The sequence below is a fragment of the Homo sapiens genome, chromosome 8 (genome assembly GCF_000001405.40).
Source record: "Homo sapiens chromosome 8, GRCh38.p14 Primary Assembly".
NCBI classification, from domain to species: Eukaryota; Metazoa; Chordata; class Mammalia; order Primates; family Hominidae; genus Homo; species Homo sapiens.
In genome coordinates, this window is record NC_000008.11 from 33373518 (window position 1) to 33395459 (window position 21942).

The following is a 21942-nucleotide window of genomic DNA, read 5'->3' on the forward strand; positions in this document are numbered from 1 at the left end:
CATGGTCTCCTAACTAACCCCTTGATTCCACTTCTGATCCTCTGCAGGCTACACTCGGCAGCCCTTCTCATTCCAAGTTCAAGTCCAAGTCCTTAAAATGGCCTACATGTTCAGGATTTGACCTTCCAATAATTTAGAAGGGAGAAAGGGAGAAAAGAAAAAGAAAAGTAAAAGAGAAAGAGGAGAGACAGAAAAACTCCAGGATAACAGAGTGAACACACATATCCAATTTCATTTCCTCCAGAAACACCATTAAAATGAGAGTAAAAGGACTGTTCTTGAAAGGCATTAACCTGTAAGAATTGGGAGAATGGAAGAGGGCAGAAGAGTAACAAAACATAGAAGAATAGGAAAATTAGCAACTTCACAGTGGGAAAACCTAGCACATACCACCTGAACCAAGCAATCAAAGTTAACATTACCAGTTATACGTTATGTTGGTATAATGCATCCCCTGATACAGGGGTCCTCAACTCCCGGGTCATGAACCAGTACTGTTCCCTGGCCTGTTAGGAACCGGGCTGCAGAGCAGGAGGTGAGCAGCATGCATGTGAGCATTGCCGTCTGAGCTCTGCCTCCTGTCAGATCATCAGCAACATTAGATTCTCCTAAGAGGGTGAACCTTATTGTGAACTGCACATGTGAGGAATCCAGCTTGCTCACTCCTTATAAACATCTAATCCCCCACCCACCTACCGGTCTGTGGAAAAATTGTCTCCCACAAAATAGGTCTCTGGTGCCAAAAAGGTTAGGAACAGCTGCCCTAATAGGATGCAATGAGAACACGTTTACCTCTGTGGTATTATTCCCCATAATCCATAACCCAAGTGTTAACATGAGAAGACATTAGACAAACCGTATGAAGGGACATTCTACAAAATACTGACCAGTACTCTTCAAAAGTTATTAAAAATAAGAAAAAGCTTGAGCAACTGTCCAGACTGGAGGAGACTAATGAAACGTGATGGTTTAATTACAGCCTGGTATCCCGAATTTGATCCTAGCGCAGACAGAGGATGTTACAGAAATATGGCCAAATATGACTAAAGAGAAATATGACTAGACTCTGCAGTTTAGCAAGCAGTAATGTGCCAATATGAATTTCTTATTGGTGACAAATGTACCACAGTTACATAAAATGATAGCATGAGGGGAAGCCAGGGAAAAGGCATACAGAACTCTGAACTATCTTTAAAATATTCTGTAAAAAAAATTAAAAGTGTTTTTAGTAAAAGACAATGGCAAAATACCTTCAAAATTCTGAGAAAAATGAATGTCCATTTTAGTGGTTTACAGTCAGCTAACCTATTGCTTAAATTTAGGGTAGAATGAAGACATTTTCTTTTTTTTCTTTTCTTTTCTTTTTTTTTTTTTGAGACAGAATCTCGCTTTGTCTCCCAGGCTGGAGTGCAGTGGCATGATCTCAGCTCACTGCAACCTGCAACCTCCACCTCCTGGGTTCCAGTGATTCTCCTGCCTCAGCCTCCCAAGTAGCTGAGATTACAGGTGCCTGCCACTATGTCCAGCTAATTTTTTTTATTTTTTTTTATTTTTAGTAGAGACGGGGTTTCACCATGTTGTCCAGGTTGGTCTTGAAATCCTGACCTCAGGTGATCCACCTGCCTCAGCCTCCCAAAGTGCTGGGAGTACAGGCACGAGCCACCGTGCTCAGCTGAAATGAAGACATTTTCACACATTCTTGCATGTACCTCTTCTCAGGAAGCGACTGGAGAGTATGATCAACCAAAACAAGAGAATAAACTAAGAAAACAGGAGACATAGCATGCAGGAAACAGATGTCAACAGAAGAGAAAAAAAGAAAAGAAAGAAAATTCCCAAAATGCTGGGGAAGTGACATCTCAGGCTGCTGCTCCACACTAAGGTAGAGGACAATGAGCACAGATAGGAGTGGGTCAGAGGCTCCGGGAGAGATCCCTTCCATAAGATCAAGAGAGCTGGATGCCTGCCATATCTCAACATCTTCAGAGGAGAGTTAAACAATCAACAAAGACTGAATGACTGACAGGTACATGGAAAAATAATCAAATAAAGATGCAATTATTACCTGGGAAAGAAACAAAAAACTGTATATGTAAGGGGGAAAATGATAGTGTACTACATGGTTTATTTTTTAATAACAGTCACACAGTTATATTCAAACACTGAATATAAAAAGAATACTATGTAAATGTGTTACTTAGAAACATAGAGTAAATAGGCCAGGTGTGGTGGCTCATTCCTGTAATCCCAGCACTTTCGGAGGCCAAGGCAGGTGGATCACCTGAGGTCAGGAGTTAGAGACCAGCCTGGCCAACATGGTGAAACCCTGTCTTTACCAAAAATACAAAAATGAGCCGGGTGTGGTGGCGCGTGCCTGTAATCCCAGCTACTCAGGAGGATGAGGCAGGAGAATCGCTTGAACCCAGGAGACAGAGGTTACAGTGAGCCAAGATCATGCCACTGCACACCAGCCTGGGTGAGAGAGTGAGACTCCATCTCAAAAAGAAAAAAAAAAAACAACAGGAAAAGAAACAGAAACATTGGGTAAATACCAAAATAGTTAAATAATTAGCTAAATATTGTGGTTGCTTCTGGGAAGGACAGAAAAGGGAAAAGAAGTGGAAGACTGCTGTTTTTGTTAATTAACTTTGTAGAAATATTTGATTCTTCAACCTATATGCATGTATATATTTTTCTTAAAAAAAAAACTGTCTTAATGGGAAGACAATCCATTATGTGTCAGGTTTATAATGATTAGAATCTTCATCCATTCCAAATTTAGAAAGCATAGCAGAAAAACCAGTTGGAAATATAAAAATGTGGGTGCTACTTATGATTGGCTCAACATATTTTCTTTTCTTTAAAACTCCCATAGGAAATATATGAGGAGATACTAGGAGTATTTAGTGTGAAGAGGTGATGACTTTGAGTGAACAGAGTTTGTCTTCAAGCAAAGAAGTCCCTTCAAGTGAAGGGACTATATAAGTGGAAGTGTGAATTAACTTGTTTGGTAAAATGTGAAGGATAGAGATGGCCAAGTCCTCCTTTCTCTTGGGAACCACTGATGGATTATCATGAAGTCTGACTTCCAAGGGCCTAGAACTTGAGCAGGAATTCTTTACCAAGCACAGAGAAGCAGAGTGCAAATTGAAATTGCAAACCATTAGGAATGCTAAGACAAAATCTGGGAAATCTATGAATATCAAGTTCAAAGGACCAAAGGTAGGCTCAAAATTGTGATTACATTAGCCAGAGTTCATGGTTGGATAGAGACTGGATTTGAAGCAAGAACAGAACAAAATCACGTAAGGAGATGCAAAACAACTTTCAACTTTTGAGAGGCCACTGTTCACCTCTATTGGCTGGTAGGTACAGATGCCAGACTGTATCCTGCCAAACTGAGGAATCAGAGCAGGTAGCTAAGAATTGACTATAAAGGCCGGGCACATTGGCTCACACCTGTAATCTCAGCAATTAGGCTGAGGCGGGTGGATCACGAGGTCAAGAGTTCGAGACCAGCCTGGCCAACATAGTGAAACCCCATCTCTACTAAAAATGTAACAAATTAGCTGGGCATGGTGGCATATGCCTGTAATCCCAGCTACTCAGGAGGCTGAGGCAGGAGAATCACTTGAAGCTGGGAGGCGGAGGTTGCAGTAAGCTGAGATCGCACCATTGCACTCCAGCCCAGGCAACAGTGCAAGACTCTGTCTCAAAAAAAAAAAAAAGAATTGACTATAAAAGGGGAAGTTTCAGTTCAATACAAAGAACCAAATGTTCTGTTTATCTTTTGTCAAAACAAACAAAAGATAAAATAAGCTACCTTTAAAAATAATGAAATCACCAACACTGAAAATGCCCCAGCACAAATTAATGGATGGCTTGCTCATGATACTCGAGTCACCAGTCAGCTGGTAATTGTACAGATCACATAACCTTCCAAGGTCTTCCCAACCCTGACCTTGCATAACGGTTTATATGAGAAAGTCAGTAATATTACCCTATTTCCTTGCCTTCCCACTCAGGAGAGGAGCCCATCAAGTGTAGGATAAAGTTCCAACTCAAGGTGACATCACAGAGAAAAGAATCTTATGAAATGAACTCTTTCCACTCTAACATTCTGCCAGAAATATTTCACAGTATGACCCAAAGGAAGTGTGTCTGATGAAGTAGTTATGACAGTTTTAGAAGTAACTTAAGTTTCAGTATCCCTTTCCAGCTGAGGTCTTGTGCGGAAAAACCAGCTGTTTCTAAAGTATGATTTTAAAAGATTTTGTTTCCAAAGAGAACGTGGTTCCTAGCAATGAGAAAAATACAGATAATCCTTGAATTCATAACTTCTTGAGCCCATCAGGGAACTGAATTCCAGAGGGTGACAAAGCCCCTTTGAGGAAAGATGGATAATCTGTTTCACCTTTGGCAGAACACAGGAGAGAGAGGTGATCACCATACAAACAGGTAACAAGAAATCAGTTAAAATTTTAATAAATTCTTAGAAGTGGAGTAACCATATCAGCTGGAATAGCTGGGATGCCCAGATACAAAAATGAGAGTTCAAACTCATCAAAAGCTCTTTTCTATGGACCTCCATCAAATGCTCAAAAGGAAGATTGGGGGCAGCACAGGATTGGAAAGAGTCTCCCTCCTTGGCACAGCGTGGTGGATGATCTTCCTCTGCTAGGGGAATTCAGGAAGCCTCTCCACCCTCCCCAGACCTTTTCCTCATACATGTAAAGGCCTTAAGCCACTGCGGGAGCAGTAGCAAACGCTTCTGCTCCCAGATCCAAGGGAAAAATCTATTACTTCTTGGGGAGAGGGAGAAGCAAAACTCCTCTTTCTCATGGTTGGGTGCAGGATGGAAACCATTTTGGGCCTAGAATCCTATCATGATACCAGAAGTTACACCACTGGGGAGGGGCATAAACTCTCCCTCCAACTAACCACAGATACAAGGCAGAGCTTGGCTGCCAAGAGAAGAAGAGGCAAGGACACTGGAAAAGCTTCACCCCTGAGACCCAGGAATCCAGAACCTGCCTGAGGCTGTGAAGACAACAAAGAACCTGCCGTACTCCCAACATAAGTTTACTGCTAAGGAATGAATAACAGGAGTTTGCTGGTGGGGAGAAGCAAGAATATTAAAATAGACCTCATCTGTGGCATAGCAATGCAGGAATTGCTAAAAGCTGAGGGTGGAGGAGAAATACTGAGAAAAACTCTTTAACACCCCAGGCCCCACTTTAAACATAGGCAATAGCAGTGCTTAGTCACTGGATAATTATTATTACTGGAAATGTTTGAAACCTGAGGAGCACAAAAGGTAACAATAGCAACACAAAATCCAACTCTAGCTCAACTCTTGACTAACCTGACTCTACCTCCCTAATATGGTTTGGCTTTGTGTCCCCACCCAAATGTCATCTTGAATTGTAATCCCCGTGTGTCAAGGGAGGGAACTGGTGGGAAGTGATTGGATCATGGGGGTGATCTCCCCCATGCTGTTGTCATGATAGTGAGTTCTCACGAGATCTGATGGTTTAAATGTGTGGCATTTCCTCTCTCTCTCCCTCTCTCCCTCCCTCCCCTCCTGCTTTGTCGTGGTAAGATGTGTTTGTTTCCCCACTTTGCTTTTCGCCATGATTGTAAGTTTCCCAAGACCTCCCTCGCCATGCAGAACTGTGAGTCAATTAAACCTCTCTCCTTATAAATACCCAGTCTTGGTTGGTTCTTTATAAGCAGTGGGAAAATGGAGTAATACACATCCCTCCTCCCCAACCCACGCACATTAACAGCCTTGACAGAAAAGAGGCATGTCCATTGCCATACATAAACATTGATCTTGGTCTCTATGCTTTTGTACATAATGTCCAGGAATCAAAAAAAAAAAAATCATGAAACACATAAAAAGAGAAAAAACAAAAAAACAAACACTATCAAGAGCTAAAGCCATCAACAGAACCAGACTCACAAATGACTCAGATGTTGGAACTATCAGGCAGGAACTTTAAACTACCATTAGTATGTTAAAGAATATAGTAAAAGGCTGGGCGCAGTGGCTCACGCCTGTAATCTCAGCACTTTGGGAGGCTGAGGCAGGTGGATCACGAGGTCAGGAGTTCTAGGCCAGCCTGGCCAACATGGCGAAACCCTGTCTCTACTAAAAATACAAAAATTTGCCAGGTGTGGTGGCATGAACCTGTAGTCCCAGCTAGTCAGGATGCTGAGGCAGGATAATTGCTGGACTCCAAAAGGCAGAGGTTGCAGTGGGCTGAGATCATACCACTGCACTCCAGCCTGGGCAACAGAGCAAGACTCTGTCTAAAAAAAAAAAAATATATATATATATATATAATATATATATACTATATATATAACATACATATACACTATATATATGCTATATATATACACTATATATACACTATATATACCCTATATATACTATATATACACTATATATACACTCTATATATATAGTATATATATATACTATATATATAGTATATATATATACTATATATATACGATATATATACACTATATATATACACTATATATATACACTATATATACTATATATATACACTATATATATACTATATATATACACTATATATATATACTATATATATACACTATATATATATACTATATATATATACTATATATATATACTATATATATATACTATATATATATACTATATATATATATACTATATATATATATATACTATATATATATAGTAGAAAAGGGAGACAATATGCATGAACATAAGGGTAATTTCAGCAGGGAGATGTAATATAAAACAGGAGTCAAATGGAAATACTAGGTTTCTGCAGCTAAAGAGATGCTGAATTAGGTGATTCCTAAGCTACTTTCAATTCTGACATTGTATGATTCTAAGACCACCACTTCAAGAAGGTAAAAGAAGATAAATGATAAGAAAATGGATGGTTTATATGTAGAAAACATGAGACAACTAATAATCTCCCACTTGGAATTGTTCCTTCTCATCTTCAATTTGAAATACAAAAAGTGACCAGGTACAGTGGCTCATGCCTATAATCCCAGCACTTTGGGAGGCCAAGGTGGGAGGATTGCTTGAGGTCAGAAGTTTAAAACCAGCCTGGGCAACATAGCAAGACCCTGTCTCTACAAAAATAAAAGTTAAAAAATTAGGTATGGTGGCACATGCTGTAGTCCCGGCTACTCAGGAGGCTGAGGCAGGAGGAATGCTTGAGTCCAGCAGTTCAAGACTGCAGTGAGCTATGATTGCACCACTGCACTCCAGCCTGGGTGATAGAATGAGACCCTGTCTCAAAAAAAAAAAAAAATGCCAGGCACTGTGGCTCACACCTGTAATCCCAGCACTTTGGAGGGCCAAAGCAGGAGAATGGCTTGACCCCAGGAGTTTGAGACCAGCATGGACAACATAGTGAGACTCCAACTTTACAGAAAAACTTTAAAAAATTAACCAGGCATGGTGACATGCACCTGTAATCTTAGCTACTCAGGAGGCTGAGATGGAAGGATCACTTGAGCCCAGGAAGTGGAAGCTATAGTGAACCATGACCACACCACTGCACTTCAGCCTGGGCAACAGAGGAAGACCCTGTCTCAATCAATCAAATTTATATATGTGTATATATAAAATATATAAAGCAATGGAAAATTACTTCAGGCAACTCCAGTTAAAAAGTAAATTCTATTAACCTTAAGACAGATTGTCTGTTTTGTTCAGCTTAAATACAGATAGGAAATCACCAAATTATCTTGTCTTTTAGTCTTTCGTACTAAATCCTTTTTTCCTAGAAGCCTTCCCCCATTTTTATACTTTATCATTCTAACTTAAAAAGAAATCCAAACTATTTAAAACATCACATTTAATCTGTAGGAAGAAAAATTTTGACCTAAGGTACATCTGTCTTTGAACAACTGACATCATGATACAGGAAGTATAAGATCTTACCCTTCATAGATAGTAGATAAAAGTTTGTTCAAAGAAAGGACATGTAAGGTAGTTCATGCTCTCCTGGTAAGTGCCCATTTGATGACTTAGGGTTATTACTTCTGGTGGTGATTTAGTACCAAAGGATGTCTTATGCTAGAAAGCGTTAAAATGAAGAGAGTGCACTTAAATGCAGCATTTGTTACGAGTTCATCATCTTAGCGTGGTAGTTAATGGAATCTCTGTAACAGCTGTATTCTGATACTGTGGCGGTAGTACTAACAGCTGGCTGCCAGTGATTAAGATGGCCTTTTGGAAGACTCTTGTAGAAGCTTTACCAAAAGCATCCAGATCTCTCATTTTAGAGAATTTTTCCTTCACAGTGCACAAAGCTTATTCCTTTAATAATGTCTAATCTAAACTGTAAGCCCTATGACAAGGGACCATGTCTTTTCTTGCTTACCATTATCTAGCACAATAATGCCCGAATCAGAGCGCACCTTCAATACAATTTTTTTCAACTAGTTTGTTTAATAAAGAAAATAGGCTGGGCATAGTGGCTAACACACGCAATCCTAGCACTTTGGGAGGCTGAGATGGGCACATTGCTTGAGCTAAGGACTTCGAGACCAGCCTGGGAAACATGGCAAAACTCCATCTGTACAAAAATTACAAAAATTTGCCAGGCATGGTGGCTGCGCCTACAGTCCCAGCTACTCGGGAGTCTGAGGTGGGAGGACCACTCAAGCCTCGGAGCTGGAGGTTGCAGTGAGCCGAGATCACACCACTGTACTCCAGCCTGGGTGATAGAGACCCTGTCTCAATCAATCAATCAATCAAATGGAGATTTCCAAATAAAAATGGTTGACTAGACACACACTTTTAATTTCATTCCCTCCTGAAATCCCATAAAATGACAGCAAGGTGGTTTTTTTTTTTATGGCATAGATTCCTGAAGAAAAACAAAATGATAAGGAAAACAAAAAATTTCGGAAGTTGCAAAGTTAACAGATGGGTGGCAAATGACTTAGTTGATGTGAGAAAGCTGAGTTCTAAGAAGCAGCGGGAAAGCAGAAAAGCAACTCAACGTTCACTGCAGCTTGCACAAGATGCTGCAGAATTTGGTGGCGCACAGAACTCTGGCAGTGGGTGTAAAGAAGGGGCTGAAAGGGAAGTGGTTGCCAGTTTTGTAGGAGGCAACTGAAGACCCAAATCATCACTGTGCACAAGCAAGAAACTGACGTTCTCCTACCCCAGCAGCAGCTGAGTATTGTCCAAAGAAACTTAACAGTAGATCATTAGACTAGGGGAGAGCAGGCATGAACGAGGGTAAGAGTACCGCCCTCTAGCAGATTCCTGAACTTCTCAACTTCATCTATCCCTTGCCCCACCTGCACAGGGCTCTGACCAACAGTACACCTCACCTCCTTCCATGTGACTTCCTGCTCTAGAATTTAACTGTTGGAGTCACTGTGGAACTCTTCTCAGCACCCATATCACACACGTGCAACCCAAAAGGTAGAGCAAGTTAGGACCAGTGGGACAAATTTTGGACTACGGAGAAAGCAGGGCCCATGGATCAATTTTCTCCCCTTCCTTACCTGGAAGGAATGATTCCGAGTGCAGTATGTGCTTCTCAGGGGCAGGGTCCTGAGGATGAACCAATCACTCCCACTTAACACTCAGCTCAGTAACATCATCGCATTGCCCTCCTTCCTTCCCTGGTTCACTCCCCTACTCCTCCCTCCAACCCTCTAGGACTGCACTCCCTAACAGAATCACAGCACAGATGCCTCTGTTTCCATTTCTGTTTTCTGTGGAAGCCAGGTTAAGATCGTTGGTACCAGGAGTGGCGCTAAAGAGCATTATTCACCTGATGGCAATAAAAGCCCCATTGCTGGTGGTAAATCCCCATTAAAATTAATATCACCTGCTTTATCACCAGCACTCAACACCTAAGTGAGAAACAGAGGCCCTACTCTGAGAAGAAATAGCTTATATACCAAGAGAAGCAGCAAAGGCTAGGGTGTACTGTCAAGAACTGGGTAAGTGGCCAGGCACGGTGGCTCATACCTGTAATCTCAGCACTTTGGGAGGCTGAGGTTGGAGGATCACTTGAAGTCAGGAGTTCAAGACCAGCCTGGCCAACATGTTGAAACCCCGTCTCTACTAAATATACAAAAATTAGCTGGGCGTGGTGGTGCACACCTGTAATCCCAGCTACTCAGGAGGCTGAGGCAGGCGAATTGCTTGAATCCAAGAGGCAGAGGTTGCAGTGAGCCGAAATTGCACCACTGCACTCCAGCCTGGGTGACAGAGTGAGACTGTCTCAAAAAACAACTGCCCCCTCAGACAGGATAGTAAGTCTGAAGCAACACCATCATCTTGGAAAAACTGTAGAGATCAATGCCCCATAAGACCAAGGAGTTTTCCCCATCATAATCCCCACCACCACCATTTAATTCACCGTTCTGACCCCTGAAAAAAAAAAAAACAGATAAATCATGGTAGATGGTAGGGGACTACCAGGAACTTAACCTGACAGTAGTTCCAACTGCAGCTGCCTTGCTGAAACTGGTATCTACACAGGATCAACATGGCTCCAATCAGTATCTGATATTGATGCACACCAATAAGCAGCCACTGAGAGAAAGCTCACAACAAGCAGGTAGGTATTATGAGTTATTGGATTTCAGCCAGCCTGTCCCTTTGTTACCCCAATACTGGTTCCACTGACCCATGAACAGGACATTGTAGGAATGATGGAGGCTATGCATGAACAGAAGAGCTTTGGTTCTCACTCACAGGCAGAATTCATCACTGCCACTGTTGAAGACCTGATCTACCAGCAACAATGATCAATGCTAAAGCTTCTGATAAGGCACAATTCCTTGAGGAGAATATCTAGTCTCTAGTCTCCCAGTGACAGGCTAAAATCCTTTTACTCGAGAAGGAATAGCAATTAGTCCTTGCTGAAATTGACACCTACCTTAGATATACTCATGGGGAACTTCCTTGTCCCCCATACCTCTGCCTACTCTATCACTCAGGGGTTACAGAATGCCTTCTTCAGGCCGGGCGTGGTGGCTCACATCTGTAATCCCAGCACTATGGGAGGCCGAGGTGGGTGGACCACCTGAGGTCAGGTGTTCAAGACCAGCCTGACCAACATGGTGAAACCCCGTCTCTACTAAAAATATAAAAAATTAGCCAGGCATGGTGGTGAGCGCCTGTAATCCTAACTACTCAGGAGGCTAAGGTAGGAGAATCATTTGAACCCGGGAGGCAGAGGTTGCAGTAAGCCAAGTTCGTGCCACCACACTCCAGCCTGGGTGACAAAGTGAGAATCTGTCTAAAAAAAACAAAAAAGAATACCTTCTTCAGCAACATGGTATTTTGTACAACACTAACTCAGACTCAGGGACCCATTGCATGGTGAGAGAGGTACCAAAATGGACACATGACACTGTGACAACAATGTGACAGTGGGCACAGCAGTCACTGGTTTTACCAGGTACTCCATCACTCAGAAGAAGCCAGCCTCAAAGAACGATGGAATAGCCTATAAATAGCTCAGCTCAAGGACAATACTCTCTGGGTTTAAGAAACCAGTAGTCCATACATGGGACTGTGCTCCAAATACCTAGACTAGATACAGGAACCAACCCATTGAAGTAGAACTGACTAATCTCACCCTCATTCCCAGTGACCCGCTTGCTTATTTTGTGGTTCTCATCCCTGCAACCCTAGGCTTTCCAGGTTCCTGGTTCCCGGGTGGTGGGGGAAGGGGCATTCTTTTCCATTAGGGGCACAGGAAGGTTCCCACTGAACTTGAATCTACAGAACTGTAACTGCTACCCAGTCACTTTGAATTCATTGTGCAAGCAGGAAAATGAAGAAATTATTGTACTGGTCGTGGTAATGGACTCATGAGGAGATGACATTCCCACTACACGGTAGAAGCAAACAGGGTCTGTCGAGGACGGGGCCATGATGAATGGGGGAAAGTGTAACTGCCATGAACACAGTCTCAGAGGGGCAAGGCAACCACAGGCTCCTAAGGGAAGAGGGTCTGGGTCACCCTATCAGGCAAGCAGCCAAGAATAGTCAAATCACTGGCCAAGAGTGAAGGAAGGCAGGGCGCAGTGGCTCACACCTGTAATCCTGGCACTTTGGGAGGCCAAGGCAGGTGGATTACTTGAGGTCAGGAGTTCGAGATCAGCCTGGCCAACATGGTGAAACCCCATCTGTACTAAAAATACAAAAAAATTAGCTGGGCATGGTGGCAGGTGCCTGTAATCCCAGCTTCTTAGGAGGCTGAGGCAGGAGAATCACTTTGGCTGAAAGAGGAAAATAAAAAATGAAACATACTTAAGTAGCTTACTTTACGTTGTGCCATATAGAACGAATCCTGTAAAATAAGTGCAAATGAAAACTGGTGGCTGGGCGCAGTGGCTGATGCCTGTAATCCCAGAGCTTTGGGAGGCCGAGGCCGGTGGATCACCTGAGGTCAGGAGTTCGAGATCAGCCTGGTCAACATGGCGGAAACTCTGTCTCTACTAAAAATACAAAAATTAGCCGGGTGTGGTGGCATGCGCTTGTAATCCCAGCTGCTCGGGAGGCTGAGGCACGAGAATCGCTTGAGCCTAGGAGGCAGAGGTTGCAGTGAGCCGAGATCACGCCACTACACTCCAGCCTGGACAACACAGCAAGGCTCCATCTCAAAAAAAAAAAAAAAAAAAAAAAAAAGTGGTCTAATACCTTTTCATTTACTTTCATAGAATGTTTTATTCTGCTTTTCAATAATAAGCACATTAGCATTTTGGAATTGGAACTACTTCATTAAAATGCAAGCAAAGCCTCCTAATCATCTTCGCTGACCACCTCTCTGGGAGGAATCAGAGCAGGCTGGAGAAAAGCCTACTCTCATTTTCCTCAATGAGTCCAGAGAGAAGGACATCCAATCATACTACCTTTGGGCATTCTGAAATGCCACATTCAGTTAGCTGTTTCTGTTAGAACTGCAGGAATGATCTCCTACATCTTTTCTAAAGCTATTTACCCGCTGGGCGCTGTGGCTCATGCCTGTAATCTCAGCACTTTGTGAGGCTGAGGCGGGAGGATCACGAGGTTGGGAGATCAAAACCATCCTGGCTAACACGATGAAACCCCGTCTCTACTAAAAATACAAAAAATTAGCCAGGCGTGGTGGCGGGTGCCTGTAGTCCCAGCTACTCGGGAGGCTGAAGCAGGAGAATGGCGTGAACCCGGGAGGTGGAGCTTGCAGTGAGCCGAGATCACGCCACCGCACTCCAGCCAGAGAGACAGAGGGAGATTCCGTCTCAAAAAAGAAAGCTATTTACCAACGCCAGCATACCCTCTCTTCCAGTTCGCAATAATTATCTCAATAGGGTTTTTGTGAGGTACAGAAGCAGTTAGGGTTTTTATATTTCAGTTTTCTGTGAATATAATCTTGAAGCCTTGAAATGGTCTTGAAACCTAGCCCAAGCAAATCATCACCCTCAGAAATTCTGTTTTCTACCTTGATATATTTTGAGAATAAATAATTGGTATAGCATGGGCAATTAATGTGGTCTCTACTCTCTCATGTTTTCACATGGGTGGGTGTGTGTGTGTTTGTGTGTGTGTGTGTGTATTTAATTTTTTGCTTATGGCCCTATAAATTAGATCATACAGGAAGCCATCAGAAATCAGGAAGCATTCTCTGAGAAGAATGATGTAATATTTAGTGTTCATGTTGTGGACCAAGACAGTCAGCATAAAATAAATGATTTTATGAGTTGAACAGTTATACAAAACAAGAAAGAAGAATTTAAATTTTAATAATTCTTAAAATCTTAAAAAATACATTTCAAATATTTTAAATTTGTCTACCATATACATAGTATCTGAGAGCCCCATATGGTATACATACAATACCTAAAGATAATTTCACACACTGTTTAGGTTTATGTTTGACCTAAAATTCATATAATAACCAAAGTAAACATGTAAATATTTAAGAAAAGTTGTTGGCCTTCGGAAAATTTAGATAAGGCCAGATGTGGTGGCTCACACCTGTAATCCCAGCACTTTGGGAGGCTGAGACAGGCAGATCACCTGAGGTCAGGAGTTCGAGACCAGCCTGGCCAACATGGTGAAACCCCGTCTCTACTAAAAATACAAAAATTAGTCAGGTGTGGTGACTTATGCCTGTAGTCCCAGCTACTCAGGATGCTGAGGCACAAGAATTGCTTGAACCTGGGAGGTGGAGGTTGCAGTGAGCTGAGATGGTGCCACTGCACTCCAGCCTGGGCAACAGAGTGAGACTCGGTCTCAAAAAAAAAGAAGAACAAGAAAATATTTAGATAAAACCTTACACATCTATGAGAGTCTGGCACAGCAATGATGGGTGATAGGCAAGTGCTATGAGTGGGCCACCTCATTGTGTAAAAATTTCAGGAGAAGTTGAAAGTAATCTTTTTCTTTCAACAAATTTCCTTTGAACAAATTAAGTTACACATAAAGTAGGTTCATTCCCATTATAAACAAATAAAGTAAGCAAACAAACACCAAGCACCATCTAGAAATTTGAAGACATTACTAAGAAGTTCATAACAATTTAAGAAAGTTTTTATAAGGATTATCCCCACCATTATTTCAGTAGTTTCTCTCTATATTAATAAGCACATGTTTGCCAGAAAGAGAAAGAGTAAATATTAGAGCAGCAAGCAAAATGAAAATGAGTTTGAAAGTGGAGGCTGTGGAGTGTCAGTGTGAGAGGTCTGGCAGAAATTATCATACTCCTTCGCCACGGCATTGATGGAGAGGCTAAAGGATTGACCATGTGGATAAGCAGAACTCTTTTTTTTTTTTTTTTTTTTTTTTTGAGACAGAGTCTCGCTCTGTCGCCCAGGCTGTAGTATTGTGGCATGATCTCGGCTCACTGCAACCTCTGCATCCTGGATTCCAGCAATTCTCCCACTTCAGCCTCTCGAGTAGCTGGGATTACAAGTGCATGTCACCATGCCGGGCTAATTTTTATATTTTTAGTAGAGATGGGGTTTTGCCATGTTGCCCAGGCTGGTCTCGAACCCCTGGGCTCAAGTGATCCACCCACCTCAACCTCCCAAAGTGCTCCAATTACAGGCGTGAGCCATCATGTGTGGCAAGAACTCTTAATTTTTTATGTTAGGGACTCTTCCCCTTTTCTGCAGTTTTCTGTGTCACTGCCCAGCACCTGCAGCACGGGATCCCCCAGAAGAAACAATAAAGGAGAATGAAGGCTTTCAGGAATGAAGGCCTGTCCAGGGCTTGTAAACTTTACGACAGTCCCAAAAGGTAGTAATGGAATATTCAACCTTCCTGCAAAGCCCGGTCTTTCTGATAGGAATGAAGAACACTGATGAGGTGGCAACAACAGAAGGAAATGCAGGAGAGCAGAGAACATCAAGATGGCCAGCCTGCTGGCTCTATGCCCACCTTTGATTTGCTTACCTTTTCCTGAAGCCTGATATTAGCCCACACCTTGGTGCACACCATACACTCAAATGCATCGATGTAATTGTCCTGGTTGACGTCTTGCACTCCCCATTTCCGTTCCCTGAGAGCTGTCAGAAGTCGCTGGTTAGAGATCTCACCCTTCAGCTTCCATTCTACATAGGCCTCATACAATCTGTCATCAGAATCCAGTCGTCTGATGTAACTTGCCAGTTCCCTGGGGTGAGAAAATTCTGATACAAGAATAGCACTTTTGTTACTTGGAAGCCAGTCTGTGATGCTGGGGGATCCGTAATATACAGGGACTACCCCCAGTTTCAGTGGCCTCCAGAACTTCTCAGTGATGTAGTCATCACAAACTGCATTCTCAAAAGCTAGGATAAACTTATACTGTGCAATGATCCTATAAAAGCCATCGGCATCCATAGAGGCTGGATTTTTCAGCTGCTGAGGGAGGTCTTTGTTTCGTAAACATTCACCATAGGAATCGACCTCGATGTAAGTCATCAGCTCGCGAACATAGCTGTCCCTGTCTGATGGTGGGTCACAGTCTGACTGTACATACACCAGCGGAGCAAGTCTTTTTCTAAGCTTGTTTTTGGACTGCAAAGGAACTAGGTATCGGAGTGACTTCAGGACTTCAATGCTCTCCAAGTATTGGGTAGTTAGTGGCAAGTGGGAATGCCTGCTGAACGTGGCAGTGTAGTTGAACAAGGTGATCACTGGTTTATGAAAGAGCTTATAATTGTTTTTCGGGGACTCTTCATGAAAAACAGCCCAGTCATGATGGGCTTTCCGAGGCAGAGGTAAGCTATCTATGTTAAAGTCAGTACCTAGGAGAAGAAAATGAGATATTAATTAGTATTTCCAAAAGATGTTGCTAAGTTTGGGTCTACCTGGTAAGATTAGAATACAGAGGAGTCTGAGGCTATGAATAAGAAGCATGTGGCCGGGCACGGTGGCTCACGCCTGTAATCCCAGCACTTTGGGAGGCCAAGGCAGGTGGATCACTTGAGGTCAGGAGTTCGAGACCAGCCTGGCCAACATGGTGAAACCCTGTCTCTGCTAAAAATACAAAAATTAGCTGGGCATGGTGGCACATTGCCTGTAATCCCAGCTACCTGGGAAGCTGAGGCAGGAGAATCACTTGAACCCGGGAGGTGAAGATTGAGCCACTGCACTCCAGCCTGGGTGACAGAGCAAGACTCTGTCTCAAAATATATGTGTGTGTGTGTGTCATACACACACACACACACACACATGAAGCATGTTACAGTGTCACTGCAAAGTGCCTGGCAGTCAGTCACAAAGCTTTCACCCCAGAAACTACTGAGGGAGAGGATCACCAAAGAGGGGGACTATCATTTCTCATTTTACGAAAAAGGAAACAGGAGTCGTGTCTGGCCAGGTTCTAAAGGAGAATTTATTCCACTGCCTCTTGCAATGGGCTTTTCTTCCTGAAAAGTGTTACCTACAAGTAAATAGGAGAAATAAAGAGATAAAGACAGTTCTTTAAAAAGAAAAGAGCAAGAGAAAGGAAGCCAAAAAAGGAAAGCAACCAGGTCAGCAGGTTGATTAACTGCAAAAAAAAAAAAAAAAAAAAGTGAAACCATGCAAAAGTAGCCAGAAGAAATGTAGAAGATAGATTTTTTTAATCCAAAATGATTGATTTCAGCAAAGTGCAGTTAATCAATCTTAGTCAAAATGGTAGACAAGAGGCTTTTAAAGACGAAAGAGCTGATAATAGCACTATGTTACAGACCACTGCAGGATGGACAGGAATTAACAAGCTCATGGAGAAATAAAGAAGGCCTAACAGGATTACAATTATGAGTGACCCTAGCATCCACGGGATTAATTGAAAAACCTCTGAAACATGATGATGTGCAGACAGAAGTGATGGATGTGGTAAGCGATTGTTTCCTGGCTGCATGGGTGGAGATCCAATCAGGGAGAACTTATTTCAATAACTGAGAAAGAAGAACTAAGACAATAACACAATAGGTAATATACAATTTCTGAAGTATTCTTGACATGGATAATTTTGTAGACCCTTGAGTTTTTTTAAAATAAATATAAGGAAACGGGAAAAAATTCATCTTCCAATACCCACTGGAAAAGAAAATACCGAATATATATTTATGCCAAAATAAAACTTTATCAACATTTTCTGGCAGAGCTCATAAAAATTAATTATTTAATGCCAGTGTACACTCCCACAAATAAAGATAAACTCTTCAGTGCCAACACTACATCAATGAGAAATCAATTAATCAAGAAAGGCTTTTAAACAAAGATCAGATAAGGTTATGTCACAGGACATATACTAAGCACAGAGAAATTGCTGAAGAAAGTGCCTCTGTTTTGATAGCAGGCTTTTATTCTCAATCTTTGGCAATGACGTACTAACGTAAAAATGGGCTTGTCCTTGTTTATTGGCATTTGCTATATTTGACCTTAGGCTTAAAAAAGAACACTCACCCATATACCTGAAATCTAATGGCATATAAAGTTGGATGGCTGGCAAAGGTTAATAATCATTAAGATAGAGAAACATGAGGATATGAAAGAGAATGTGAGAAGAAAGGCAAATGACTGCATTGAAGTACAACAGCTGCTGCTCAAAAAGGGTCTAAGCTGGCTGAGAGGCCAATGATAGGAACCAGAACCTATATAATTGAGTTAGAACACAAAGTTGCCACCTAAGGCATACAGAGAATCAAGGCCATTTGCCTGGGAGAGAAAGTACTAGAGTCCAGTCCACAGGAATCAGAAGCAGGGATTCAAGGTGTGAGATGAGAGATTAAAGAGGATATGATTAAAACAAAAGTGGGTCCAGAATTAACTGGGGGGATCAGGCACAGGGGATTTGAGTGAGTGACCCAAACACCAGTCACTGTCTGCTGCTACCTGCTAGGTGGCACATGGAAGATTCTTAACCTAGCTCAGCATGGGTGCACCTCAGCAAAGATACCAGATGCAGAGCTGGGAAGCAGAAAGACACAAAGCCTGCCTCAGGTGCATTCAGATGAATGCTCTCCTGCATTCATCTGAATTATGTTTAGTCTGCAGGGGTGCAGCTGCCTTTAATAGTGGGAGATGCTTATTAATAGAGAGGAAAGTTAAAGGGACCTAGCCTTCCAGAAATATTTCCCATGTTTGCTATCTATAAAAGCATTTCCTGGTAACTTCCCTGAGATACATCCACACAAAACACAACCACACATGCGTGCGCATGTGTGCAATCACGCTAATATAGGTTTTCTGTAAGATTGTCAGATGCTTTCAAACTAAACTTCTCTGGAGAAGATTGAAAATAGGTCATTTTGGCATGGCACAATGGCTCACACCTATAATCCCAGCACTTTGGGAGGCCGAGGCAGGCAGATTACTTGAGGTCAGGAGTTCGAGACCAGCCTGGCCAACATGGTGAAACCCCATCTCTACTAAAAATACAAAAATTAGCCAGGCATGGTGGCACATGGTAGTAGTAATCCCAGCTACTCGGGAGGCTGAGGCAGAAGAATTGCATGAACTGGGGACGCAGAGGTTGCAGTGAGCCAAGATCACATCACGATACTTCAGCCTGGGTGACAGAGCGAGACTCTGTCTCAAAAAGTAAAAATAAATAAAATAAATAAAAACACGTCATTTTGCCCTGCAAGCATCTCTCCTAAGCCTAGAGCTTCAGACGGTAAGTGCTGAAGAATACTGAAATTAGAACCATGACCAACCTGGCCAGGCATGGTGGCTCACACCTGTAATCCCAGCACGTTGTGGGGCTGAGGTGGGTGGATCACCTGAGGTCAGGAGTTCAAGACCAGCCTGGCCAACATGGTGAAACCCCGTTTCTACTAAAAATTCAAAAATTAGCTGGGCATGGTGGTGCATGCCTATAATCCCAGCTACTCAATGCTGAGAAGGAGAATCGCTTGAACCTGGGAGGCAGAGGTTTCAGTGACCCAAGATTGCACCACTGCATTCCCTCCTGGGCGACAGAGTGAGACTCTGTCTCAAAAACAAAACAAAACAAAACAAAAAAAGAACCATGACCAACCTAAACTACTTCACTGGGGATATCATGGCCTAGAACATAAGTGTCAATATTGAACAATTTCTAAAAGGTATTGGATGTGGCTCAGAAAAAAACTGAGTTATTTAGCTCTCCCCAACTCCATCGCAATGCCTACTGTAACAAGAGTTGGAACTGGAGTCTATAGAGGAATGAAAATCAATTAACCTATGGTATATCCATAAAAATGTGACTAACGTATGTGCAATTGGCTCACTAGTTTTCTAGTCATGTTCACTGCTCTTACATTTAACAATTTCAGATTCAAACTTTCATTCCTCTGGGTTATTTTGTGTTTACTGAATTCTGACAAACGTATTCGTTCCTTTAAACAACAGCTAAATAGATCTTTGGCACTAATGTGCACTGTAAAGGGAATTGCAACTTGGAATACAAATGGAATAAAACGAATGCTGGCAAAGGGTGGCAGATTGCTGACTATGGAGACTAGATCTGAAACAGCAGAGGAGCCTGAGAGTGACATACTTTATGGGACATGTTTATATGCCCCTCTCCTTCTGCAGGAGCATGGCCTCTTCTTTCATTACTCCCATACAAACTGGTGAAAACAGAAGGCAACATACATTATTAACCTCACTTTACTAATGCAGTGTGAATCACTCATCTAGAGCTGAAAATCCCGGGTGGGGACAAGAACGTCTGACCAGCAAATAGGAAAGGACCAGAGGGACGACAGGCCCTGCTGCAATGTTGATTCCATGGAATGACATTCTTGGTACTTGCAATTACACCCACAGAAATGTTAGCCAGCTTTAGCACACGAATGATGTGGAAAGCCCAGCCTGCCTTAATTTGGAAAAGAGAAGTGCTTCTGCAGAATGCTCTCCAAAGGTAATCTGTTTTAAAAAATAATCTCTACCATAAAACTGTTGTGTCCTTTTGGGAGACTGAGGCAGGAGGATTGCTTGAGCCCAGGAGTTCAAGGCCAACCTGGGCAACATAGTGAGACCCTGTCCACAAGAAATGTTTTTAAAAAATTAGCTGGATGTGATGGTGCACACCTATAGTCCCAGATATTCAGGAGGCTGAGGTAGGAGGATCGCTTGAGCCCAAGAGGTTGAGGCTGCAGTGCACCGTGATCACGCCACTGCACTCCAGCCTGGGTGACAGAGTGAGATCTTGTCTCAAAAAAATATAAATAAAATAAAATAAAAATTACCATCATTTTCTGCCAAAGGTGGTGATTCTTCTTGGGACCTGGCATGAGGTAAAAAGGGGGAAAGAGATGACTCTCCCTTGCTTGCTAACTGACCCTCACCTAATCCCTCAAACCTTCCCATCCATCCACTCAGGACCCCCACAAGTGAACCACTCATTTCCTCTTCTTCTTTGGAGTGAGGGTGGAAGTTCACTCAAATCCTGTTCGAAGTCTTACCCCTCTTTACCCACAATGTCCAGACTGACTCCAGATCACATAAGGACCTGCCACTTAGCAACACTGCCCCAGATCTGAGTAGCCCCTTAATCTTTCACATGCTGAACCAACACTGTAAGCCAGTGATAAAGTTGTTTTTCACATTTATATTTTTCGTGGAATGATTTCAAATATACCAATGCCAATTTCCTATAAGAAACAAAACATGATATACATGAAAGGTTTTGCTCTTAAAAATTAAAAAAAAAAAAAACATCTCCACCTTAATGGGTCAATGTGCCAATGCTCATATAAATCCATCTCTAAAGCACAGAATTTAAAGCAGAGACTTCCTTTCTGGTGGAGAAAAATTTCTTCCAGATACACCAATGTCCCCCAACACACCTGCCTTTCGGATTTAAAACACTAGCCTTATTAGTACAACAGTCTTTAGCCCAAGATTACAGTACTCTCAGCCAAACCCAGGTTCATAAAGAGCACAGAGTCAGCTTAGTACTTTTTTTCTAAGAGGAGGCTGCATGAGTCATTGGCTTGTCAGTTGCTCAGCTCCATGTCCAACCTTCTATGCTATGCTCCTTATTGTATGGGGCTGAAACTCTGCAAACTTCATTCCTCAGGCTCCCTGGACAACTGGCTTGCAATTAGGTTTTACAACTAGGAGCACTGTAAGAAGACTGAAGGTGGGAATGATACAGACAGGAGGCAGGGAAATACTGGGTAGAAGAGGGTGGGGTCCCTGGCAAGGGTTCTACCCTCAAGCCTGGACCCTCGGCCCTAAATGAGAAATTTACATCCCCACTTTCCTGCCCAAATGTTGCCTTTTGGCCTGCCCCACCACCTATCCTGTGCCCATAAAAACCCCAAGCTCCACTGGCAGAGGAGCAGAGCGGTGTGGCAGAAAAGCAGAAGAGAAGGAGCATCTGAACATGGAGAGGAGAAGAGGCAGCTGGACATCAGAGATTATAGTCAGAGAGGAGTTCGGCCAGGGACGATTGGAGAGGAGTTTGGCCAGGGACAGTTAGAGAG

General features: G+C 42.5%; 1 protein-coding gene across 8 annotated transcripts in view; it reads right to left on the bottom strand.

The window, feature by feature from the left end:
• Positions 1-21942, bottom strand: part of POFUT3 (protein O-fucosyltransferase 3) — a 165086-nt gene that overhangs the window by 65457 nt on the left and 77687 nt on the right. For all 8 annotated transcript variants that reach the window (XM_011544677.4, XM_011544676.4, XM_047422325.1 and 5 more), the window contains one exon: positions 15446-16281. In XM_011544677.4, the coding sequence (XP_011542979.1) occupies positions 15446-16281 (836 nt within the window). The remainder of the gene's footprint in view (positions 1-15445; positions 16282-21942) is intronic.